Here is a 27,252-nt window from a genome sequence, read left to right on the forward strand (position 1 = left end):
AATCCCAATCACATACACAAAGATAACTGTCTCTGAGATGCTTTTAATGAGAATTAGAGTATTTATGTTAATTGAGGCTTTAGAACGTATATCTGATATAATTTGTGCTTGAGTTGTTTCTATACAATTCTAGTGCATCATTGATTTTATTCCTAATGTACCATTACTTACAAACTAGGGGTTTAAGTTGGAATTGTTAATAAAAATAGGAATAATCATAGTATATAAAATATTATAGACTGAAATAGGTTTGCTAACACTGAATGAGTTTATATTTTGTTTTGTTTTGATTTTTTTTGAGACAAAGTTTCATTCTTATCGTCCAGGCTAGAGTGCAATGGCACGATCTGGGCTTACTGCAACCTCCGCCTCCTGGGTTCAGGCAATTCTCCAGCCTCAGCCTCCTGAGAAGCTGGGGTTACAGGCGACAGGCAACATGTCCGGTTAATTTTTTGTATTTTTAGTAGAGATGGAGTTTCACCATGTTGGCCAGGCTGGTCTTAAACTCCTAAGCTCAGGTGATCTTTCCGCCTCAGCCTCCCAAAGTGCTGGGATTACAGGTGTGAGCCACCGCGCCTGGCCCAAGTTTACATTTTAACATTAAGGAAATTAGCAATAACCTCTCAGAGATCAAAGCAACTTGTTCTGTCCATTTCAAATATAAATAATCCCTGACATTTATAGTAGTTTTGGGCCTTTTTCCATCCCCACAAGGGACATAAATAAAATATTCAATTCAGTAAGAATTTACCAGTATGACAATATATCTCATGTTTTGCAATGTTTTGTTTTCACATGCATTATCCTGTTAGTGCTGCTCCCAATGGCCCTCACTAGGTGAGTGTTATTTATAAAATATCCTATTTTATAGATGTAGAAATGGGCTTAGAGAGGCAAGATGACCTGCTCAAGTTCATACAGCTAATCAAAAGAGTGCGAGGAAATTAAGGTGGGTATTCTAACTCAGAGCCCAGCACTCTTTCTATATGTGGCATCTGTCACTCACCAATTTCTAATATTTGCCCAACTATCTGCTAGCAGGGAATATAAAGTAAAACATGGTTTCTGCCCTTCAGTTGAGAGATAAAGTATAAGCAGTTGTTAGCAATTTCAAATTGCTTTAAGTCAGTGATCAAATGAATAGACAATGAAGTCAGAGAAAGGAGATAATCTTGTTAGGGTGATGAAGTTGTAGCCCTTAATAGTACCATACTAAAATATACTGTGCTTATTTTTGTTATATGATTTCACTGCTTTAGCCTTTTCAGCTTGCACAAAATGAAAACAGTTACCAGAACTATGTTTTCCAAAGATGCAAATCTAAGCTGATTATCAGTTCAGATACTGTCTTTGAGAGGGGTTAGAAATGTAAAGAAACAAATGATAGACTATTTATAAGAAGGGTAAATGCTTTAGTTAAATTTAGAAATCTTAACACCTCTACTTTTGCTTTTGAAAGTGGTCACATGCTAACTTTTGCATGGGCAAATTTAGGACTCAAATTATAGGAAGAAACCTTCCTTGGATTAAGAGGAAACATTAAAGAAATACAAGTGAGGTTATTTCCATTGCCCCTAGGCAGAATCCATTGTTCCTCAGCTGTATTTCCCAAGCTTTTTGTACTTGCTCGGTTTTAGATATTATGTATTTATTTATGTCAAGTCGCCCCTTGGTATCCACAGAGGATTGGTTCTAAGATCTCTCTTGGATACCAGTTAATGGCTGCTCAAGTCCCTGATATAAAATACAACCTTTGTATATAACCTATGTACATCCTGTTGTATACTCTAAATCACCTCCAGATGACTTATAATACCTAATACAATGTAAGTGGTATGTAAATAATTGCTTCACTGTATTGTTTAGGGAATAATGACAAGAAAAAAGTCTGTACACGTTCATTACAGTTGCAATACTTTTCCCAAATATTTTTGATCTGTGGTTGGTTGAATCCATGGATACAGAACCCACAGAGAGTTAACTGTATCTGCTTCTTCCATTAACCTGTTAATTGCCTGAGGACTTCATATTCCCAGATTCCCAGCACTAATATAGTGCCTGACACATAGCAGGAATACAAATATTGGTGAATTTTGTTGAGTTGAATCTGGAACTTGACAGTCCAAACTCTGGTAACTCCTAAGCCCTGGTGAGACCTAATTAGGCCGGATAGTTTTTAGCCACTAGGACTAATGGGAAGCATATCATGTATTATATATTTTAAATTAAATATTTTATACTTAAAGTAGTTCTTTTTTGAATTGCTAGTTTGATGGCAGCTGTTTACTTAGGACCAAGAGTATGGCACAAATGACTCCCTGGGGAAAGTTTAGCAGTTGAAATAGAGGACATAGTCCAATCTCTTAGCACCACAAGAATATGTCCATTGCCTTAATGGCATCCCTTGTCCCCATCACATCTCACAACTATGTCACCTTCATCATAAAGAACTACGAAAACATACTACTGCCTGATTTAACATGCATTTATTAATCTCCTATTATGTCTTCAGAAGGATGCTAGTTATTAGAGATGCAGAGGTGAATAAGAAATATCTGGCCAGTCACAGTGGCTCACTCCCATAATCCCAACATTTAAGGAGGCCAAGGTGGAAGGATTGCTTAAGACCAGGAGTTCGAGACCGGCCTAGAATACATAGCAAGTCCCTGTCTCTACAAAAAATAAAATGTCTGGATGTGGTGGTGCATACCTGTAGTCCTAGCCACTCAAGAGACTGAGGCAGGAGAACTGCTTGAGCCCCCAGGAGGCCAAGGCTGCAGTGGGTTATGATTGTGCCACTGCACTCCAGCCTGGGTGACATAGCCAGATTCTGTCATAAAAAAAAAAAAATCTATGGAGCACCCTTTATGGGTCAGGCAGCATGGCAGCCACTGGAGATAACAGTAACTGATTCCCACTCTTCTTTTTTTTTTGAGACGGAGTCTCGCTCTGTCACCCAGGCTAGAGTGCAGTGCAGCGATCTTAGCTCGCTGCAACCTCCGTCTCTCGGGTTCAAGCAATTCTCCTGCCTCAGCCTCCTGAGTAGCTGGGACTACAGGCGCGTGCCACCACACCTAGCTAATTTGTTGTATTTTTAGTAGAGATGGGGTTTCACCGTGTTAGCCAGGATGGTCTTGATCTCTTGACCTTGTGATCCGCCCGCCTTGGCCTCCCAAAGTGCTGGGATTACAGGTGTGAGTCACTGCGCCCGGCCGATTCCCACTCTTATAAAATGTATATGGTATTTCACACTCCAGTGAGAAGGAGAGATATGAATTGTGATAAGTTGCAATAGAACTGAACCTAGAAAAGGAAGTAACTAATTCTGCTTCTCTGTGACAGGGAAAGCTCCATAGAGGAAGCAAAATTTGAACTTGGCCTTGAACCATGGATGGGGTGCCTTAGTCTAACAGGGATCCTGCCTTGTATTTCAGGAAAAAGCATGAAGACATAAAAAGTGTATCCCACTTGTTAGGGGAGCTGTCAGAATGCTCTTGGCCGATAGCTACAGAAAATAAACTCATTATGGCCTAAAAAAGTAAGAAAATGTATGAGCTCAAACAAGAAACCCAGAGGAAGGGTGACAGCAGAATTGGTTAATTTAGGGGCAGAACCCACCATCGGAAACACAGATCCATCTCATCTTTCTGCTTTGCTATCCTTGGCGTATTGACCTTCCCCACAGGCTGGTTCTCCTCCTGGTCATCTAATGGCCACAGCAGTGCTAGGCACTATGTCTGGGCACAACACTGGTCAAAGGAAAAAGAAATGCTGTCTTCCTCAGTATGGAAATCTTTCTTAGGAACTTCCCAGTAGACTCCCCTTTAGTCTCATGGGCCCAAATTTCACTGCTGTCCCTAACTACACCAACCTCTGATGTGGGAAATGAGACCAACAGTGGCTGGACCTTGGGCTGGAGCTGGGATTTGCCTCTACCATAGTGTATGGCCATGGGGCAGGGAGGGGGAAGGGAGCCTGTGCAGGCAACAAGCTGAATCAGCTTTAGGAGCCTTAGATGAATCGGTGTTATTAGTTCCTAGGGAAACTATTGGGCTGCTGAGAGATTAGTTTGAAAGGAAAGCAGAAGGCAGATGTGGCTTTGTGTGCCGTGTCAGGGATTTATACCTTGACCTCTGTGCTATGGAGTGATGTCATTTCTAGAAAAGTTTCAAGTTACATGGTTTTAAGGAAATAGTATCATTTTTAACCAGATGCTCAGTCCATCTTGAGGACGTCATCAGAATAAGTCATATAGAGGTATTTAAGATACTAGGATATATGTCTAGTGTAATATGCATACTTGTAAATAACACACACACACACACACACACACACACACACCTGCTTCATTTTTGTTCCCAATTACGACTAGAAAGCTAATTAGGAAATAAAAACTTTTAACATTTAAAACACCTAAAGCAGTATAGTGTTAATTCTATCAAATGGTTATTCTCTCAAAGAATATTTCTGATCATTGAACATAATTTATTAATCACAGACCTCTTTTTAAAAAAGGGAAAACAAATAGGAAACAGGAGCAGAAACATAACATTATTTTTGCATTTTCAGACTTTTCCATGGCAAAGTCTTTGGTAGTTAAGTTAGAAAATAGCCCCCCCTTGTGACCAAAAATCAGGTAATTGGTCATTCAAGCGAAAATGAAGCAAATTTTAAGCAATTCTCCAGGAAGAAGGAAGCAGGAAAACAGGAAAAGGCTGTCCCCTTCAGGATGATGTTAGTGTTACATCTCCAGTGTTAGAAATTGCTGGTTCACAAGCCCTTTGTTTATGTTGGCATGGTTAACTCTGATTGTTGACTCTAATTCCAAAAGTAGATTTATATTTATCTATCTTGTAGGAAAATTATTTTTTAACTCTCCCATTATTTCTTTTTTACATTTTCTCTATATTCACTCTTGGCTTTTACAACATGCACAAGATGAAATAATCATTTTAAAAACTTTAACCTTATTTTCCCCAAATGTTATCAATTGTAATTAGATAGCTAATGGAGGCAACATCTCTGGAGGGTGTGTGGGGATTTAGAAAGGCAAATGAAATAGGAAATTTGGTAATCAAAGAAATTTCTAAAAATTTTAATATTTTCAAATCAGCTGTCTTGAATATCCCTAAATCTTCATGTACTATTTAATTTAATGGCATAGCCATAAATTATTATTTTAGGTAACCACAACTGAGGAGTGTAGTCTCTGAATGCTGAAGAAAGCATAAAGATTGACATTTTTTTGAAGATGAAAAAGAACAGCCTTACCAAGAAAATAGAGAACTTAGTTTAGCTTTAATACCTGGAAAAATACTGAAGCAAATCACTGATCAGCCAGTTTGTATTTATCCCCAGTAATTTGCAGAATTTGTTGGTTTTTTAAAACCTACATGGCTTTGTAAAGACAAAAGTTCACACGTTTAATCTAAGACTTAAGATGAACTGAAATTAAGATGGACTAATGTGTTGATTCAGTTCTCCTGAATAATGATAATAATAGCTACTATTATAATTATCTACTCTGACATTTATTGAGGATTTACTATGAACCTGGAATTGTGCTAAGCACTCTCTATATATCTCATATAACACTACTGTTATATGGAGTACACATTATATTACACGTGACAACATTTCACAGATGAGAAAATGAAGTCTTAAAAAATTTAAGTAATGTCCCAAGACCAAGTCGTGGAGTTTGGTTTCAAACTCAGAGCTAGCTTATGACCTCTTAACCACTAGGTTTGCTGGAAGCCAGGACTGGTATTCTCCAGGCTCACATTCTCCAATCCTCTGCACTTTAAGTTGTATCTAGTTGGGTCATGGGTATTTAGTTCATTCTGTAACAGCTGGATAAAGGGCAATCTTCCACATGATGTAATCCCCAAATTGCTCAACAAAGACATTGTTGTTAATAGAGTCCACTGGGGTCAATTAAAAAATCAAAGTCAAAGGGGAGCAGAGGGTGGTATTTTGACCAGAGAGGAAAACGGCAAGGATTTAATTTGGGAAGACTGTTTTTTAAAAAATATTTAAACATTTATTGTGCTCAAAATTTAAATCCAAAAAAATTAAATAAATCGTATAATTCTCTTTATAGGCTGGGTGCGGTGGCTCATGTCTGTAATCCCAGCACTTTGAGAGGCTGAGGCGGGTGGATCACCTGAGGTCGGGAGTTCGAGACCAGCCTGACCAACATGGAGAAACCCCGTATCTACTAAAAATATAAAATTAGCTGGGCATGGTGGTGCATGCCTGTAATCCCAGCTACTCGGGAGACTGAGGCAAAAGAATTGCTTGAACCTGGGAGGCGGAGTTTGCGGTGAGCCTAGACCGTGCCATTGCTCTCCAGCCTGGGCAACAAGAGTGAAACTCCGTCTCAAAGAAAAAAAAAACAAAAAACAAAAAACAACTCTCTTTTAAAGTACAAAATAATTCATCACCTTCCTTTATTATTTACCCATTATTTCATCTAAATGTTTGTAGCTAAGATTTTCTTAAAGCAGGTTACCCATGATTACAGCTGCCTGAGAGGCCTGTCTCGTGGCATGTATATATGTTTCACCAAAGGCAATTTGGGAATGTGTGTTGGATCAAGATTCAGATAATGTAGACTTGGGTTTTCCATTTATTATGCCAGTAAACTTAGTCAACTCAGATTACCCATTCTGAGCCTTACTTTCTCAAGTCTGAAATGGGGATAGTAATACTGGCTTATCAGTACTTCCTGCACAGGATTGTTGTACAGAATCAAATTCGTTTATATATTTGAAAAATATCTACGGAAGGGATGGGTGTAATTATTGAAAAGAAGAAATCCTAGCATACTTCGGGATCTTTTACTACCATTTGCATCACTGTAAGATAGAGAAAAATGAGAGCTGTGTCCATGCATGTTAGAAGTAATTTTTTTCCTTTTTGTATTCATTTTATTTTAATTTTTTTTACATTTTATTTTAGATTCAGGAGGTACATGTGCAGGTTTGTTACATGGTGCGTTAGTCTGTTTTGCATTGCTATAAAGGAATACCTGAGACTGGGTAATTTATAAAGGAAAGAGGTTTATTTGGTTCATGGTTCTGCAGGCTGTGCAAGCATGACACCAGCATCTGCTCAGCTTCTGGGGAAGCCCCAGGGAGCTTTTACTCATGGTGGAAGGTGAAGGGGGAGCAGGCATGTCACATGGTGAGACAGGGAGAAAGAGAGATGCTAGGCTCTTTTAAACATTCATATTTCACAGTAACTAATAAAGTAAGAACTCATTCATTACCATGGGGAGGGCACCAAGCCATTCATGAGGGGTCTACCCCAATGACCCAAACACCTTCCACCAGGCCCCATCTCCAACACTGAGGATTACATTTCAACATGAGATTTAGAGGCAAAAAACATCCAAACTATTTCACATGGATATATTGTGTAATGATGTGATTTGGACTTCTGGTGAACGCATCCCTCATCCAAATAGTGAACATTGTACCCAATAGGTAATCTTTCAACCCTCACCTTCATCCCACCCTCCTGCCTTTTGGAGTTGCCAGTGTCTATTATTTCCATTTGTATGTCCATGTGTATCCATTGTTCAGTGAGGACATGCGGTATTTGATTTTCTGCTTCTGAGTTATTTCACTTATGATACTCTTCTAACAGTGAGAATTTAGGCTTTCTGGTAAGTATACCTTAGATGATAATTGTACTCTTTAGCGTCTGGAATCAAAGTTTATTCTGGTTTGCTCAGCCAAAGCTCTTTAACTCTGGATCTGGTTTGGAAGAAATGGAGCAGTCTATTCTCATCTGGACCAATCCCAGGAAACATCCTCATCTCAATTAATCCATAAGTCACATCACAGGTTTTTGTGTTGGTTTTGTTTTGTTTTTCTGTCACCACGATTCTCCATCCAATGGCTCTTGTGGAATAAAGCAATGCACAGAAGTGGCACTAAGAAGTCTGTTTTTTTTGTTTTTGTTTTTGTTTTTAGAGATAGCATCTTGGCCCGGGCGTGGTGGCTCACGCCTATAATCCCAGCACTTTGGGAGGCTGAGGTGGGTGGATCACAAGGTCAGGGTTTCGAGATCAGCTTGGCCAATATAGTGAAACCCTGTCTCTACTAAAAATACAAAAAAAAAAAAAAAAAAATCAGCCAGGTGTGGTGGCACACACCTGTAGTCCCAGCTACTTGGGAGGCCAAGGGACGGAGGTTGCAGTGAGCCAAGATCACGCCACTGCACTCCAGCCTGGGCAACAAGAGTGAGATTCCATCTCAAAAAAAAAAAAAAAAAAAAAAAAAAAGAGACAGCATCTCACTTTGTCACACAGACTGGAGTGCAGTAGCACAATCACAGCTTACTGCAGCCTCAACCTCCAGGCTTAAGCGATCCTCCCACCTCAGCCTCCTGAGTAGCTGGGACCACAGGCATGTGCCCACTGCACCCAGCTAACTTTTGTAGTTTTTGTAGAGATGGGGTTTTGCCATGTTGCCCAGGCTAGTCTCAAACTCCTGAGCTCAAGCAATCTTCCAGCCTTGGCCTCCTTAAGTGTTGGGATTATAGGCGTAAGCCACTGCACCTGGTTAGAAGTCTTAAATGACAAAGAGGAGTGAGCTAGATAAAAGAGAAAAGGGATATTTCAAGTAGAGAGCACAACATGTACAAAAACTGGGCAATGTGAATTGTTTAGGGAACTACAAGTGGCCGAGGTGGCTAGAGGAAAGGCAGTGTGATAGAGTGATAGAGTGCAGCTTAGCCGTAGCCACTGTCAGGACTTTGGAGCCTGCCAGCTTTGGTTTGAAACCTAGTTCCACCTCTCTCAGCCGAGTGCCTTTGGGCTAGTTATATAACCTCTCTGTATCTACCTCACGGGGTTTAGAACTATTAAATGAATTATGGTATATTAAATGCTTAAAATATTGCATAATACATAATGAGTACTCCTACTATTACTATTGTTATTGTGAATAGTTAGATAGGCAGGGGACAGGTCCTAGAGGCTCCTACGTTAAAAGGAAGAAAATTAAAACTATATGCCTAAAGCCATGGGGAGGTTTAGAAGGTTTTTGTAAGAAGTAGAGAGAAAGTATGTGATGTGATCTGATTTTTAGAAAGGTCATTCCAATGAGAGGTGACAGCGTGCTGGCAGTCCTCAGAGCCCTCGCTTGCTCTCGGCACCTCCTCTGCCTGGGCTCCCACTTTGGCAGCACTTGAGGAGCCCTTCAGCCCACCACTGCACTGTGGGAGCCCCTTTCAGGGCTGGCCAAGGCTGGAGCCCACTCCCTTAGCTTGCAGGGAGGTGTGGAGGGAGAGACGCGAGCGGGAACCGGGGCTGCGTGCAGCGCTTGCAGGCCAGCTGGAATTCCGGGTGGGCGTGGGCTTGGCGGGCCCCTCACTCGGAGCAGCCGGCCAGCCCTGCTGGCCCCGGGTAATAAGGGACTTAGCACCCGGGCCAGTGGCTGCGGAGGGTGTACTGGGTCCCCCAGCAGTGCCAGCCCACCGGCGCTGCGCTGGATTTCTCACCGAGCCTTAGCTGCCTTCCCGAGGGGCAGGGCTCGGGACCTGCAGCCCGCCATGCCTGAGCCTCCCACCCACTCCATGGGCTCCTGTGCGGCCCAAGCCTCCCCAACGAGCACCACCCCCTGCTCCACGGCGCCCAGTCCCATCGACCACCCAAGGGCTGAGGAATGCGAGCGCAGGGCGCATGACTGGCAGACAGCTCCACCTGCAGCCCTGGTGCCGGATCCACTAGGTGAAGCCAGCTGGGCTCCTGAGTCTGGTGGGGACGTGGAGAGTCTTTATATCTAGCTCAGGGATTATAAACACACCAATCAGCACCCTGTGTCTAGCTCAAGGTTTGTGAGTGCACCAATCGACACTGTATCTAGCTGCTCTGGTGGGGCCTTGGAGAACCTTTATGCCTAGCTCAGGGATTGTAAATACACCAATCAGCACCCTGTGTTTAGCTCAAGGTTTGTGAATGCACCAATCGACACTCTGTATCTAGCTGCTCTGGTGGGGCCTTGGAGAACCTGTGTGTGGAAACTCTGTATCTAACTAATCTGATGGGGACGTGGAGAACCTTTGTATCTAGCTCAGGGATTGTAAATGTACCAATCAGCGCCCTGACAAAACAGGCCACTGGGCTCTACCAATCAGCAGGATGTGGGTGGGGCCAGATAAGAGAATAAAAGCAGGCTGCCCGAGCCCGCATTGGCAACCCACTCGGGTCCCCTTCCACACTGTGGAGGCTTTGTTCTTTCGCTCTTTGCAATAACTCTTGCTACTGCTCACTCTTTGGGTCCACGCTGCTTTTATGAGTTGTAACACTCACTGCGAAGATCTGCAGCTTCACTCCTGAACCCAGCGAGACCACGAGCCCACCAGGAGGAATAAACAACTCCAGACGTGCTGCCTTAAGAGCTGTAACACTCACCGCAAAGGTCTGCAGCTTCACTCCTGAGCCAGCGAGACCATGAACCCACCAGAAGGAAGAAACTCCGAACACATCTGAACATCAGAAGGGACAGACTCCAGATGTGCCACCTTAAGAGCTGTAACACCGCGAGGGTCCGCGGCTTCATTCTTGAAGTCAGTGAGACCAAGGACCCACCAATTCCGGACACACCAATACGTGGATAGGGATAGATCAAAGGGAATCAAACTAAAGATAGGAAGGCCAGTAAAGAGGCAACTGCAGTAATCCAGAGGAAGAGAGATGGAAGCTTAAATTAAGTAAATGCCAGGTGCAATAAAGAGGAGAGGGAGCACCAGGTGAGAGTGAGGAGGAGAAGCCACAGGCCTGGGTGCCTGAATCTCAGTTGTCAGGCCTGGGCAGTTGAGTGGTGTGGATACCACTCACCGAGAATGGGAACGCCAGGAAAGAAGTGGATTTGGAGAAACGTGGGGGAGCTTAGTTCTGTGGTGTCTTTGATTTTGGACATACTGGGTTTGAAGAGAACAGCCAATTACTGATGCTTAGTAGGTAATGGCTTGGTGCTTCAGGAAGAGATCAGAACCCTTTGATAAGAACCCTGGCCTGGCTGGGCGCGGTGGCTCACGCCTGTAATCCCAGCACTTTGAGAGGCCGAGGCGGGCGGATCACGAGGTCAGGAGATCAAGACCATCCTGGCTAACACGGTGAAACCCAGTCTCTACTAAAAAATACCAAAAAATTAGCCGGGCGCGGTGGCGGGAGCCTGTAGTCCCAGCTACTGGGGAAGCTGAGGCAGGAGAATGGCGGGAACCCGGGAGGCGGAGCTTGCTGTAAGCCGAGATCACGCCACTGCACTCCAGCCTGGGTGACAGAGCGAGACTCCATCTCAAAAAAAATAAAATAAATAAATAAATAAAGAACCCTGGCCCATTTAGAAATGAAGCTGTCTATACTTCCAGACTGAATAACAACCACTTTTTGTTAGTTGTTTAAGATGTGATCTCTGCCTTAATTATCGATAGTCATATTCAAAAGATTCACTAAATCCCATCTGGAAAATGGAGACGTTTTTGAGATTCTTTTGGCAATTCAAGAGCATTATCATTGATTATTAGTAGTGACTGAAACAAAGACACTGACAAAATTAGACATACACTCATTACACTCATTGTTTTGGCTATATTTTGAGAATTTTGTCAACTGATTGTCTTCACAATGTCCTTCCTTTGGACATATAATAAAAATAATATAGTCATTATTTGAATGTGTGCATATAGTTGCAAAATTACCATGTGTTTATATGTATAATGTGTTTCTAGTTTTACACTGTTTAGTCACTCAAAAATTGTATTATGATTGCAACTTTCCCCCACAGGTATCTCTGATGAATATATAACACCTATGTTTAGTTTTTATAAAAGTATTGGGGAACTGAAAATGACTCAAGAGGAGTATGCTCTGCTTACAGCAATTGTTATCCTGTCTCCAGGTAATTCCAATGTTACATTTTAATTTTTATGCCATTTTTTTCAGTATACTAGTAATAACGTTTATTGAAAAAAATCTGGAAAACATAGAAATATAAAGAAAAAGTAAAGTAGCCTATAATTCTGCTATCCAAATAGAACCATTATTAACCTTTCAGTGCACTTCTTTTCAGTCTTTTTAAAAAATATCACACTTATTCATTTAATAAATGTATATTGAACACCTACTATGTACTAACCATGATGCTAAGCACCGGGGATGCAACAAGACACAGCTCCCATGCAGCTTGCATTCTGGTAGGATGAGAAAGATAATAAATGAAGAAACAATATTTTTTCAGAAGGTGGTAAATGCTACAAAAAATATAATGAGAATATAAAGAAAGAGAGTGGCACAAAAATGGTATTTTAATTTGTGGTCACAGGAGGCTTTTTTTAAGTGGGTGGCATTGGAGCAGGGATCTAAATGAAATTACATACTTTTTAACATAATAAGGAACTTTTTTCTGAGTTTATATTTCTTCTAAAAGTCATTTCCCAAGTCATTAAAAAATTACATTGGTAAAGTTGTAATATGTGCTACATATTCCATTGTATGAATATACAATCATTTACTTAATCTTTACCACATGTTTGTATATTCAGGATATTTCCAGTTTTTTTGATGTTGAAAATGTTTCTTCAACAGTTTTTTTTGGTTGTTGAAATGATACCTCTTTCCATATTTTTTTCTATATTTTTTGGTTACTTTAATAATTTGGGTGTCGAATGATGCCATGCTCATGATTTGTAGAGCATAATAACAATGTTAGCCTTAGGCCATTTTTATACATTATCTTGAGGCAGAAGCTAGTTGTTACTTTGCTTTACCATAAAAATTATGACTTGTGACTAAAAAACTATTCAGCAGAACCTTCTAAAGTTATGTATGGATATGTCCTATGACCCAGTGATTTCACTTCTGAGAATATACTCAACAGAAAGGATGCTCACGTCCACCCTACAGGTTATCTTTAGGGGTTTTGATTGGAAGGGGAATTGGGAGGCTTCTGGGAAGCATTACATGTGTTGTATCTTGATCTCGTTATAATTACGTGTGTGTGCATAAAAATTCATCAGGTTGAACACTTAATTTTCACATTTTGTGTACAACATTTAACTTACACTTCAAAATAGTTAACGTTGCTATAATTATGCTGAATTAATGCTTTTCCACTTTTTAATTTTGTCATTTTATTTTAAACTTCAAAACAGATAGACAATACATAAAGGATAGAGAGGCAGTAGAGAAGCTTCAGGAGCCACTTCTTGATGTGCTACAAAAGTTGTGTAAGATTCACCAGCCTGAAAATCCTCAACACTTTGCCTGTCTCCTGGGTCGCCTGACTGAATTACGGACATTCAATCATCACCACGCTGAGATGCTGATGTCATGGAGAGTAAACGACCACAAGTTTACCCCACTTCTCTGTGAAATCTGGGACGTGCAGTGATGGGGATTACAGGGGAGGGGTCTAGCTCCTTTTTCTCTCTCATATTAATCTGATGTATAACTTTCCTTTATTTCACTTGTACCCAGTTTCACTCAAGAAATCTTGATGAATATTTATGTTGTAATTACATGTGTAACTTCCACAACTGTAAATATTGGGCTAGATAGAACAACTTTCTCTACATTGTGTTTTAAAAGGCTCCAGGGAATCCTGCATTCTAATTGGCAAGCCCTGTTTGCCTAATTAAATTGATTGTTACTTCAATTCTATCTGTTGAACTAGGGAAAATCTCATTTTGCTCATCTTACCATATTGCATATATTTTATTAAAGAGTTGTATTCAATCTTGGCAATAAAGCAAACATAATGGCAACAGGATTTTCTTTGGGAACAAAATTTGATAAATATACAAACTCATTTCTTTAAATGTTGAAAGACATCCTATTGAATCTGAGGGGGTAATTTACAGAAAGATACTGTCTCTCGCACTTTTGTCATCTCTGGAAAAGTCCTGGTGAATAGTCATTCATTTGTAATAGCCCTCTGATCATTTCCTTTTCTTTGAAGTTCAAAGAGAATAGCAAACAGAAAAGTTAACAATTTTCACATAAAATATTCCCTCAAGCAATCCTTTCCCCCATAGTTAGTCTTGAGGCAGGATTCACAAATTCAGAGTATGCAGCTAACTGCAGTGATGGGACCTTCGCTTTCCTCTCTTAAAAGTGAGGAAATGATTGGCTTCATTGTATCCAATCATCTTTCTGTTTTGTTTTGCTTTTGAAAACATTCCTACAGCTGGGAGCACAGCTGCTGTATACTTCCCCCAAAGCAGGAATTAGTTCATTTCCTTCCTTCATTGTTACACTGTTGCATTCTTCTCCCTATTATCCTTTGGTGAATACAATAAAACACCTTCTATAAGTAATGGGCGTATATCTCCCTTTCTCCTAAAGTTAGCCAAAGTGGAGCATGATTAGCAAGCAGTTTTTTTGTATCAAAATACTAGGACAACCCTGGAATTCTAAAAATAACCAGTCAGTGGAAAACTGTGTTGAGGCTAGCATCAATTGGATTCTGATACAACAAAAATGTCTTGAGTTCCTAGTAAGTACAAGATTCATTTGCTAAACTCCATGGAGGATACAAAAATGATTAAGATCCAGTAACAGAGCTGAGCCCAATTGACACCTGTAATCCCAGCACTTTGGGAGACTGAGGCTGGAGGATTGCTTGAACCCAGGAGTTTGAGACCAGCCTGGGCAACATAGGGGAAACCCTGTCTCTACAAAAAATAAAAAAGAATAAAATCAGCCAGGGGCTGTGGCTTGCACCTGTGGTGGTCCCAGCAACTTGGGAGGCTGAAGCAAGAGGATTGCTTGAGCCCCAGAGATGGAGGCTGCATTGAGTCATGATCGCACCACTGCACTCCAGCCTGGGCAACAGAGCGACACCCTGTCTTCAAAAAAAGAGAAAGAAAAAAACCCAGTAACTGCCTGGAGGGAGTTATAAAGGCTGCAGCGGAACTTGCTGTGGGTTTACCCTGGAACTTGGGAAAGTTTCATACAGGAGATGGTACTTCTGCTGGGCTTCAAGGGATAGCCCCAAATTCAGTGGGTCCAGGTAGGAGGGAAGGGGTTCAAGGTGAAAGGGGTGGCAGGAGCAACAGAAGGAAGGTGGTGAGTTGTACAGATGTTAAAAGACGATACGTAATCTGGGGAGGGAGGGAGGATGCACAGTCTCTTTCTAAATCTCAATTTCACCATTGTAAAATGCAGAGATCAGCATTTATTGCATAAGGGGATTTAGCTTATTAATGAAGAGTAAGTGGGAAGTAGCAGGCCCACCAGGGAGAGGGTTGGTGAGGAAAGGACATTGAAGAAAGGAGTAAATTTCAGTTTGGTGTCTCCAGATCTCATGCCGTCTGCGCAGACAGCAGTGAGAAATGAGCCTGGAACTGGTGGGGCACTGGAGACAGAGCAAGAAGCTTAATCCTCTAGATCTGCATTTATTCAAGTGGTTAAGACCTTGTAATAGCAAACAATAATGCTCATCACATGGAAAACTAATTGTGATACTATAAGAAATACATATTGTGTTTTTGTTCCTGGTTTCTGACACAGCTTCTAAAAGCTTTGGGAATTCCTGAGTGATAGGGGTAATAGGAGCAACTCTGGGTAAAAATAAAATACAAATTACAAGTGCTATGAAACAGAAGTATTTCCCTTGCTCTGATATGCACTTTTATGGGTCATTTTCCACACTAGTAGAGTGAGTTTTTTTTCTAAAATGCAAATCTGGTTACATGTTCCCTGTGCTACTTGATTTCCCATTGACTTCAGCAGAGACCCAGAACTCCTTGGGAGAGCAGTTGGCTATTGAGACCTCCTACCGGTTTTGTCTCCTGCCCTACCTATATTCTAGGCTTCCAAATAAAATGCATTCCCCAGAGGTCTATCTTCTCTTACACCAAATGAGAAAGAAAGTATAGAGACAGGGGAAAAGAAATGGGTTTGCTTGTTTTCTTCCTTTTCCTTTCCACCCCAGGTCTCAAGTAGGGGTGATTTTGTGTCTCAGGGGGACATTTGGCAATGTCTGGAGACACTTTTGGTTTTCATAACTTGGAGATAGAGGTGCTACTGGCCTCTAGGGGGTAGGAGCTAGTGATGATGCTAAACTTCCTACAATGCACAGAATAGCCTCCCTCAGCAATTATCTGGCCCAAAATGTTAACAGTGCTGAGGTTTAGAAACCCTGCTCTCTCCCATCCTGTCTTAGTTCATTCCGGCTGCTGTAAAAATAGACCATAAACTGGGTAGCTTATAAACAACAGGAATTGATTCCTTACAGTTCTGGGAAGTCCAAGATGAAGGCACTGGCAGATTCAACGTCTGGTGAGGACTTCCTGGTTCCTAGATGGCATCTTCTAGATGTGCCTGCTAGCTCTCTTGGGTCACTTTTATAAGGGCACTAATCCCAGTCACGAGGCTTCACCTTCATGGCCTAATCACCTCTCAAAGGCCCTACCTCCTAATACTATCAATTTAAGGGTTAGGATTTCAACATATGAATTCTGGGGGGACACAAATATTCAGACCATAGCATATCCCAAGAAAATATGACTCCTACACTGTACTCTCTCTTGACCTGATCTAGCATCTAGCTTCAACATAATTCTCATGGTGGTGGTTTTCTAGTTCATAACAACATTGTGGACAGTCATTTTATTAGTGAATCCAAATACTGGATATGAGCAACTGTTTTGAAATTTTGTTTTCTTTCTTTGTTGTTCAGAATGAGAAACTGATTTCACTCATTGATCCTATAGCAGCAGAATTTTACTTTTCCCCAGATTTTTACAAAATTACAATTTATTATTTTTTCCCTTATGTGAAATAATAAATTCAGTACACTATCACATATCACATTTGGGTGTTAGCTGACTTATTTTTTGGACACTCAGAATCCACTGCCTTTACTTCTGGAAGAGTACTCTGATTTCCTCAGGGGAACCACCCCCTTCCCATCTCTTAGTCCATATGTTTTAAGTGGAGTTGATTCCACCCCCAGCTCCAGAGTTGGAAGTGTGATTCAGGCATAGCTAATCAGAATATCACATATCTTAGGTCACAGTCATTGGTTTAGAATTGGGCAGGTGACTTATTTAAAGAAAATAAGATATACTGCTGGAAGAATTTTTAGGAGGAAGGCAGTGTCAGTTACATGCCTCTGTGTGTGTGTGTGTATTAATTGTTCCAAATTCTTCACTCTCTCCCTGTAGTAGAATTATATGGCCAGGTTATTTGACTCGTGAATTTGCAGTGCCTCTCACAGGAGTAGGCAGAACAGACTTCCCCACCCACTGATGTTGAGCTTGTCCTTGTGGCTTGCTTTTGGCAATAGCACGTGGGTGGAAGTGAGAGTGTCAGTTCCAAGCTATGGCCTTAAGAGACATCACATGTTTCTGCTGCTGCTCTTGCACTTCTGCTATCTGCCATGAGAAGGGAATGCCCTGGATAGTTGCAAGTCTCAGAATGAGAGACAGAAGGAGTACACCTAAACCCAACTTAAGCTTGAAGCAGCATCCCTCCTGTCCACCATGAGCTAACATGCAGATCGACAAACAAGAAAAATCAATGTTTATTACTGTAAGCCACTGAAAGTTAGGAGTTGTTTGTGATACAGCATTATCACAGCAACAGTCTAGCTAATATATCCTATTTGTGTTCAGATCTGTTCCCTTCCTTCCCTTCTCTGTTCATCTAGGGAGGGAGGGCTAACCCCTGACAGGCTGCATTTTATAGGTTTCTCTGTTAACTGGCTTTGGCCAGTTTCAATCAATGGAAAGTATTGATGGGAGACTGGAGGATGAGAAGAAGGGAAAAGCCAGGGTATTTCTCCCTCACTCTCTCTGCCTCAGATTGTATCTCTGGTAAAGATTGCATCTCCTACATGGCTCCCAGTCCCACTGGGAAACTCCCTCCTGCCCCAGTGCTGATGGCCCTGGTTTCTAAACTCCTCTTTTGAACCCTAAGCCCTAGAATTGCAGTGGCTTCCTACTGTTGCTAATCTCTGAGTTGTCTTACCTGCTCCTGTTTACCTTCTCTTGCAAAACCAAGTCTGTGTTAAGTTCCTGCTTTTTGATGCACCTATAGTGGTTTGTGTTTTCTGACTTGAGAACTATATAGAATGACTCACTTTTTTTTGGTTAGACTCAAACCTAAGAGAATGAAGAACTAGAACTTCTGGAAACCATCATATAACCAGGAGGAACCTGAGAATAAAGTCAACATGAAAATCAGAGCCAATAGAGACTGGATTTTGGTGACAATATCTGAAATCTTAGATCAAGCTGTGCCTAAAGTTAGAGAGTTCTATCCTGAGATTTTAATTACATAAGCCAATACCTGCCCTTTTTTTCTTAAGTGAGTTCGAGGATTTTTTTTTTTTTTGCTATCAAATATAACTAAATGTGATAGAAACTTGATCATACTTGAACAGTAAGCCATTTAGAAATAACCTGTGCTCTGTAAGAGCCTGGCGTGGCTACAATGCTAATATCTGTGAAGACGTCTTATAGATGAACTGGGGGAGTAGGGAGTGTAGCTCAATGTAATCATTCTTGCTAGGCTGTTAGATTTTTACATCTCTCTCCAGATATAGATTGTATTAGTTTCTTAGGGGTACTCTAACAAAGTACCACAAATTTGGCAGCTGAAAACAATAGACATTTATATTATTTCACGTTTCTGGAGGCTAGAAGTCCAAAATCAAGGTGTCAGCAGACCAAACTCCCCCCAAAGGCTCTAGGAGAGAATGTTTCCTTGCATCTTCTGGCTTCTGATGGCTCCTAGCATTGCTTGACTTGTGGCAGCAAAGCCCTAAGCTTTGCCTCTGTCTTTACATGGACTTTCTCTCTCTCTCTGTCCCTTTTCTGTCTCTTGTAAAAACACTCCCGTTGGATTTGGGGTCCACTCTACTCCAATATGATCTCATTTCAATCCTTACCTTAATTATACCTGCAAAGACTCTATTTCCAAATAAGGTCACATTCTGAGGTTCTCGACGAACATGAATTTTGGGTGGGCACTATTCAATCCACTATATAAATTTAACACACCATTTTAGTATTGACCATAACATGTTATAAAATTTCATATCATTGAATTATTTATACATATTATTTGTTAACACGAATCAGTATCATTCTTCTAAGACAGAGCTTAGTATTATTTTTAGAATAGTTAGCTCTCAACAGATTATCTGCTGAACAGATAGTTTAATTAATTGTGAATGAATCAATACCTCTATTGCCCAAATATTTCATCCAGTACTTTACACAAGGCACAATCCATAGATTGACATTCAATAAGTCAGAAATAAAAACATTTCTAAAACAACAAAATGCAGAACAAAACAACTAATAAACCAATCAAAATTTAAAAAAGTCTTCAGTGTATTTAAATTACAGTGTATTTTAAACAATAGAAGCATTCTTTGCATGGCTGTGAAAAGGCCAAATCATAGTTCAATACCCGATGGTTATTTGATTATCACAGACCCTTCTGTATTCTGTATACCTTTATGGCAGATGAATGACTATTCCTAATGTAATACCTTTTAAAATTTAGATTTCCAAACATGGTGCTTTCTTTAAAAGTGCAGCACATCTCCACAATTGGAAAGTCAAACTGGTGAGTCTTGTTTTGCATTCTACAATTATGCCAATTTCATGTAAAGATACAACCTCTAAAACATGGCTATTAACCTAACCACCTATTAGAAAGCCTACACTTGAAAGTAGATTGCAGCTCATTAGATGAAACCCTCAATTGCTAATTATAGTTTTAAAATCAAGATAGGTAAATGGTAAGTGTATTTAGATAGTTGGGTACCAGCTGGGAATTAACGTAAAAGTAAGGCGATAGACACAGACACAGACACACACACACACACACACACACACACACACACACACACACACACACACACACAGAGTATACAGAGGAGAAAAGCAACAAGAATTAAAATAATTTAGAGGCAAGGCTGGGCGCGGTGGCTCACGCCTGTAATCCCAACACTTTGGGAAGCCAAGGCGGGCGGATCACCACATCAAGAAATCCAGACCAGCCTGGCTAACACGGTGAAACCCCGCCTCTATTAAAAAAAAAAAATTAGCCTGGCATGATGGCGGGGCGCCTGTAGTCCCAGCTACTCCGGAGGCTGAGGCAGGAAAACGGCGTGAACCCAGGAGGCGGAGCTTGCAGTGAGCCAAGATCGCGCCACTGCACTCCAGCCTGGGCAACAGAGTGAGACTATCTCAAAATAAATAAATAAATAAATAAATAAATAAAATAATAATTATAATAATAATTTAGAGGCAAACTCCTCACCTAATCCCCACATTTAACCAGCAAAGGATGTGGCCTTAGAGAAAAGTGTTTTGCATAGATTTCCTGACTCAGGATTCACTTGCCACTACACTGTCCTTATATCTTTATAAGGTATAGAAATTACAAAGACAAAATAGAACAAAAAGCAAGTTATCATAAAAATGCACTGCTGACAAGATTTTAGTAAAAGGTTTAGAAATATTAAGTAGTGTGTGTTTATGTGTGTGTGTATGAGGCAGAGAATTTTTGTGTACATATCTCATATAGGATAGTTTCAAGTTTTAATAAATGGTATTCAAATGTTTAGATACATAGTATGCACATAATAAAAATAAAAAGTTGACAGCTAAGGACTCATTAAACAAGATCTGTATAACACATTTTTTTCTTAAGTTTCTGTAGAGCAGTGCACATATTTTGATGTTAGGGTTCAAGAAATCCAATGTAATACTTTAATTCAACTCAAAATTTGGCTAAATGGGGTGGTATACAAACTGCCCTTTAGTTTTAAACAGAAACACTATGACACATAGATTTGAAAAATAGGTCCTGTGAATACCTATCTATTGTGGTGATGTGAGCAGCAAAGTGTTGTGGGATTGATTTTAATATTAAAAGTGTTACTGAAACACCAGGGGTTTGGTCTAGGTCCTGCTGCTTGCAGCACAGAAAGCCAAAGACTGATATGACAAGTACTGCCAAGGAAGAAAGTTTTAATCAGGTGCTGCAGCTGAAAAGATGGGAGATCAGTCTCAACTCCATCTTCCTGACCGCTAAAATTAGGGGGTTATATAGCAGGGAAGAAATGTAGCAATGTGTAAGAAGAAAGGAACTAGAGAGGGGCAAGGAAGCAATCAGGATGAATGAAGGGCCAGGCTTTCATTGGCTGAGATGATCTGGTGAGTTTCAGTTCTTTGATACTTTTTGAGAGGTCTAGGGATCCTTTCCTAAGGAAACAACTCGGATAAAACAAATGTAAGTTTTAGGTTTTAAGACCAGAAGGGTCAATTTCTACGGTTGGGACTACTGAGTCAATTTCAAAAGTGGCAACCACTATCTGGTTTCAGGTTCATTTACCACTTAAATATCAACTCCTAGTTACCATCTTCACTCACCCACCTACCCCAGAATGTAAGCTCCATGACAGTAGGATCCCTTGTGCTTAGAATGGAGCCTGACACAGAAGATGTGTAAAATAATATTTGTTGAATTTACTTCTCAAATCTATATCTCCTACACAGACCAATTTAAACAGCTTCAGGTCTAACTTTATCTTCTGAACATCTCCACTTGCACACTCCTCTCACACTTCAAACTGAACACACTCCAAACCAAAATGCATTATTTTCCCCCACAGCCTGTTTTCCTTGTATTCTTTAGATTGGTACCATCATCAATCACATAATAACTAAGTCCAGATGAGTCAGCTTCTTAGGTATCACCAGATACCTCTTCCTCACCATCCCTTCTGAGATAATTTAGGTAACCGTCATCTTTTAATTTAAGGGATTGCCACCTGTCTTACTACCATCTTCAAACATCTGTGAAAATATTGTTTTTCCCCTAAAACACAAATCTGTTCCTACCAGTCCTTCCTTATAATCATCCCAATTGCCTGTGGGAAAGAAACTAAATTCCTCAGCATCTACCAGGCCTTTCATTTGTGTCTACTTCTCCCATCTGATCTGCCTCCCAATCTGCAGACTTCAGTCATTCAAAATGAGTATTCTCAGAACATTTCATGTACTCTCACATCTCTGGAACCTTGTCTTTGTTGCTCTCTCTGCCTGGAAATTAATTCTTATTCCCAGTTATCCCTCCCTCCTGGCAGAGTCTTAATTCATCTTTAAAAATTCAGCTCCTTTCAAACCTCTGCCATCACCCTTCAAGACTCTTAGGGGTTCCTTCTTTCATGGACCTCCACAGACTTCCATTTGGCCTTTACCATGCTGCTGAGCACTTTGAAGCCTAAGGCTGTTTTCATTTCAGTTTCTTTAGCAAGCAACAGTACATCTCATTGTTTTTGTTGAGTAAAGGAAGGAATAAATGCTAGAGAGAGATGTCATTCCAGTTCAGTGCCCACCATTCACAGATGGAGACCTGAGGCCCAGAGAGGAGACATGATTTGAGGAAGGCTAAAAGACTGAATAGGGCCGGGTGAGGTGGCTAACGCCTGTAATCCCAGCACTTTGGGAGGCCGAGGTGGGAGGATCACTGGAGCCCAGGAGTTCAAGACCAGCCTGGGCAACATGGCAAAAACCCATTTCTACAAAAAACACAAAAATTAGCCCGGTGTGGTGGCACAGGCCTGTAATCCTGGCTACTCTGGAGGCTGAGGTGGGAGGATCTCTTGAGTCCGTGAGATCAAGGCTGCAGTGAGCCGAGATCGTGCCACCGCACTCCAGCCTGGGTGACAGGGCAAGACCCTGTCTCAAAAAAAAAAAAAAAAAAAAAAAAAAAAAAAAAAGAAGGGCCTGGGCTGCAACACAGGCCTCGGGGACAAAGCCAGTGATTTTTTTAAAAAATTATTTATTTATTTATTTTATTTTTTGCTATGAAACAAGCCACATTTACAGATATAACCGACTTGGGATTGTTACACTGATGTCTAGTCTCGGCTTTATTTCAACCCTGGGAGCTAGTAAGCATCCCTTACGTTGAAGTTCATTGTTTTTTTGTTTTGTTTTGTTTTGTTTTCAGGCTCCGGTGTTTGCTGAAGAGTCAACATCCTCCTTTTGTGACTTGGGACTACAGGATTCCTCCTCATCCCTCCGCACCTGAGAAGAGGGGCCTCTCTCTGAAAGATTTCTGCTGAGGACCCCCATTCCTGCTGGGTTCCAGGCTGCGTCTCTGGAAACCGTGGCGCCCTCAGGTCAGCCAGCTCCCGAGTGGATGTGGGGTTGGGAGCGGCTCTTAACAGACCAGGATAAAACTCAGGGAAGCGCCTTCAGCTGCACCGCAACATTCCAGGACGCTCAGAAGCAATTATTACAGGCGAGGTTCATTCACCTCTCAGGCCTGTGGGAACAACAGGACGGGCTGTGGCTTTCGAACTGGCTGTCGCTGAAAGGCCAGATCGGAGGACCTGCTCTGACTGAACCACTTCGCCTTTCAGTGAACAGAGGGACTTGGCCACCGAAGCTCCGAGACGCCCGGAGGCGCAGCGCTGGACGCGCTGACAGGCGAGCGCCCACGGGTCGCGTGCTTCCCGGCAGCCCGGGGGCGGGGCCTCAGACCACGCCCCCGCCTTATGATTGGTCCCTTCGAAACAGGCGGCGGCCAGCGGCTACTGACCCTGAGGCCCAGGCGGCGGCGGCAGCGGCGGCGGTTGGTCAGGGGCGTGTTGGCCCCGCACAGATTGAGCCGAGTTGTCGCCCCGCTGGGAGAAGTGACCCTCCTGCGCCTGGTGAGTACTTCCCTGTTTGTCTTCTCTTTTCCTGGCGAACTTTTACGCGCTGTCTCGGGGCCTCCGCGCCTCAGCCTGAGGGCTCCAGGAGCCCCCCGCTCTCTGAGGCCCCGAAGCTGAGGTTTGTTGGGTCTCCCGGCTGCGGGAGCCAGTACGCTCTGCGTTTGCCTGGCTGCGGCAGTCGCGTGCTCTGATTGGCTCCTGGGGCCGTCAAGGTGACGTTGCGCCTGCCTTCACCTGTCCACCCAAGTGCGGAGAGAGGGGCGACAGGTGTGCGGGGCGGTTGGGGCTGCTGGTGTGGGCGAGCTCAGCTGGGGAGGAGGGATCCAGCCGCTACTCGCCCTGCTTTAAATCCAGAGCGGTATCAGAGCCCGAAGGTACTGTGGGATCTTCAGGGGCACCCTCATCCCTAAGCGCCTGGCACTTAGAGGGTCTGTTTTTTTCTGTTCATCATCCTCGGAAAGAATTGATGAAGTCTCTGGCCCTGCAAAGAGAAAGAGACAGACAGTTATTCTTGCCCTCTAGCAAGGTTTATAGGCTCTTCCCTGTTTTTTCTCCCAGTCCATGCAGGGTCTAGAACGCCCACATGTGCGGAACTGGGGAATAGAGCTGGAGACCCTGCGCGATGCCTTCCGCCCACAACCCTCAGTTTGGAGGACTGCCCGGGGAGAGGCTGGCAAAAGAAAGGGAAGGCTTGTAGAGTGCCTTGGAAGTCAGAGGAAAGTTTTGGAGGGCGTGCTCCTCTATGCAGTCACCCGTGGTTCCTTTCCTAATCTTTTCACACCGAGGGATTGAATGTTGTAAATTTGAGTGCTTTGTGGCATGGCATGGTGGAATAGCTGATCCCCAGTGGTTGCAAAGAGATGATTTTAGGTCAGAGCCTGGGTTTTGCTTCGCTTGTGTGAAGAGCAAAAAACAAACAAACAAAAACAACAAGAACAACAGAACCGCTTTGTGAATTGCTATCTGATCACCTGTCTTGGCACTTAAATGATTAGAAATTGAAATTCTCACCACCTCAGATTCCCTTTGGGAACAAATTGGAACTGTTTCAAATGACAGAAGTGGAAACTCTAGTGATCTGGTGTAGATGCCGATACCTGTTGTCTGACTCATCTGTTTCAAAATCTCATTAGAAACCAACTGTCATTGAACAGTAGGTGTTTGCTATCTGACATTGAATTAGAAGTAGTAATTTTTTTTTTTTTAGCGTGACAGAGTTGCTAAGCAGGGGGGCTCTGAAATCAGACTTCATTGGATATCTGACTTTAGACACATTATTTAATCCTTCTAAGCCTAAATTTCCTAGTCTGTGAAAGAAGGTTAATAATAGTTCCTACTTTATTGAGAGGATTGTTGTAAAGATTAAATGAAATTCCACGTAACTAATTTAGCACAGTGCCTGATACATAGCTATTATTATTTCTCTGCTGTTTAACTTAGACAAAAAGTTTTGAGCTCTCCCCAAAGGATGGGGAGAGGTAGAAGGTGAAGGCAGTACCAGAGATAGGGATAATTATTGTTTATTGACTAAATTATACATGTAAAGCATTTAAAACAGTATCTGACACATCATAAACACGTGGATTACTATTTATCAAACACATCATTATATATCAGGTATTGTGTTCTTTACTTATATTATTGTTAAACCTCTTAGTAATCCTAAAATGTAGTTCATGTTATCTCTATTTTTTTTTTTTTTTTTTTTTTTGAGACAGAGTCTCGCTCTGTCGCCCATGCTGGAGTGCAGTGGCGCGATCTCGGCTCACTGCAACCTCTGCCTCCCGGGTTCAAGCGATTCTCCTGCCTCAGCCTCCCGAGTAGTTGGACTCCAGGTGTGTGCCACTACGCCCAGCTGATTTTTGTATTTTGGTAGACACGGGGTTTCACCATGTTGGCCAGGATGGTCTCGATCTCTTGACGTCGTGTTCCGCCCGACTCGGCCTCCCAAAGCTCTGGGATTACAGGCATGAGTCACCGCGCCTGGCCGTTATCTCTATTTTATAGGGGACAAAACTGAAGCTCAAAGAAGGGAAATCACTTACTAGGGTTCACCTGGAATTCAGTGCAGGCTTTTTTCTGTGTTACACACCTTTATATTCCTAACATTAAGTAACTTTCCTGCACTGGATTGTCAGTGTGACCCAGATTAATTTCTGCTGTGGGTATGGGTTTATTTTGAATACATTATGAATTTTAAAATAATGAGAAATAACTTGTGATGGTAAATCAAAATTTGTGATAAAAGAATAGTGTCAACAAAATGCATGCTATTAGTAAAAAAAACAGTGATATTTTGGAGTTTTGATGTTTGGAGAATGGCCACTTCAGAAATGATGTTCCTAATTTATATTTTGATAAATAGAAATGATGTTTGGAGAATTGGCTGTTTCAAAAGTAGTATCTCCTCATTTATATTTTCTCATTTAATTTTCATTTATTCACTATGTTTTTACTAAGCTACTCTTCCTTTTTTTTTCCTATCAATTTAAGTTTGGAGATAATAGGAAAGGTTCAGTTATTTGGATAGATTACTAAAGAGCTTGCTGTTGATGATGAGGAAAGTAAGAGATTAAACTTAATATGTATTCTTATGTTTTACTTTCTTACAGTAACGTGTGTATTTTACTTCTTATTATTGGTTTTCATACTTTGATATTAGATATACCAGTACATATCTAATGAGTCATGCAATGGACATAGAATGATATTAGATATACCTTTACAGATCTAATGAGTCATGCAATGGACATAGAATCTGAGAAAATAGGAAACTTGAGTCTGTTGGCCAATTTGTCTCACATTGAGTTTCTTGATTTTTAATTAGAGTTTAGTTGTCACAGAGAAATGCTTCAGAAGTAATGTTTATGAGATACAGACCATAATTATAACTGTATTTCTTTAATGTTTCTCCTAAAAACTCAGAAAGTGTTTTCATTTGATTACATTGTTACAGAGTAGGTAGGGTGTTTTGGTTAACAGAAAGCCACCATGTATTTCATAAGGGTGTTACAAATTTCCAAAGAACTAGAATGTAATAAAATGTAGCAGCCTACTAAATGTGATGTCATCTTTGCCTCTGTAAGCATCCTAGAGTTTATAGTATTATGACCATCAGTCATGTGCTGGATATTGCTGAAGTGGTGACTCATAGAGACTTCCGCCTACTGTCATACAACATAAACGTTTCTCTAAGAAAGTATAATATTAGCTATGGTGAAGGGCTCACTTTATATAGATAGTTAGCTGTTGAAAAAAAGTTTGATGTTCAGCATGTCTTCTTTGTTACACACACAGAGAATTTAGAAAAGCACTGTGATCCCAGTAACATTACATATACTGTTCTACAGGTTGCTTTTGTTCACTTAACAAAATAGACATATTTTCATATCAGTGCATATAGCTCTGTGTTATTCTTTGAAGTGGTTAAATGAGTCTACTGTATGAATGTCCCATTAGTTATTTGAGCAGTTCCCTGTTAATGGATAGTTAGATATTGTTCTTATATTTTTTATGTTAGTGTTTATATATGTCCCCATACATTCTT

General features: G+C 41.3%; 2 protein-coding genes across 22 annotated transcripts in view, besides 2 other annotated features; both read left to right on the top strand.

Moving 5' to 3' along the window:
* NR1H4 (nuclear receptor subfamily 1 group H member 4) overlaps positions 1-14,331 on the top strand; it is a 90,549-nt gene extending 76,218 nt beyond the window's left edge. For all 10 annotated transcript variants that reach the window (NR_135146.2, NM_001206977.2, XM_047429943.1 and 7 more), the window contains 2 exons: positions 11,802-11,915; positions 13,168-14,331. Coding sequence is in view for 9 of the 10 variants with exons in the window: in NM_001206977.2 (NP_001193906.1) it covers positions 11,802-11,915; positions 13,168-13,406 (353 nt within the window). In the remaining variant the exon portion in view is untranslated. The remainder of the gene's footprint in view (positions 1-11,801; positions 11,916-13,167) is intronic.
* Positions 23,446-23,575: a silencer, noted in NCBI's record as "silent region_4767". NCBI's record gives its function as "represses an Ori minimal core promoter by ATAC-STARR-seq in GM12878 lymphoblastoid cells {active_cell/tissue: GM12878}" and the evidence as "EXISTENCE:reporter gene assay evidence [ECO:0000049][PMID:35858748]".
* The window catches only part of GAS2L3 (growth arrest specific 2 like 3), a 54,605-nt gene continuing 50,953 nt past the window's right edge, over positions 23,601-27,252 (top strand). For 6 of the 12 annotated variants that reach the window (XM_047428731.1, XM_047428736.1, XM_005268804.4 and 3 more), the window contains exon 1: positions 23,601-23,702. The gene's annotated coding sequence lies outside the window, so the exon portion shown is untranslated. Of the gene's footprint in view, positions 23,703-24,263; positions 25,541-27,252 lie in introns of all 12 variants that reach the window. The other 6 variants (XM_047428734.1, XM_047428733.1, XM_047428732.1 and 3 more) reach the window with 3 other exon arrangements.
* Positions 23,606-23,895: an enhancer, noted in NCBI's record as "active region_6860". NCBI's record gives its function as "activates an Ori minimal core promoter by ATAC-STARR-seq in GM12878 lymphoblastoid cells {active_cell/tissue: GM12878}" and the evidence as "EXISTENCE:reporter gene assay evidence [ECO:0000049][PMID:35858748]".

Source organism: Homo sapiens, chromosome 12 (assembly GCF_000001405.40).
Source record: "Homo sapiens chromosome 12, GRCh38.p14 Primary Assembly".
NCBI lineage: Eukaryota > Metazoa > Chordata > Mammalia > Primates > Hominidae > Homo > Homo sapiens.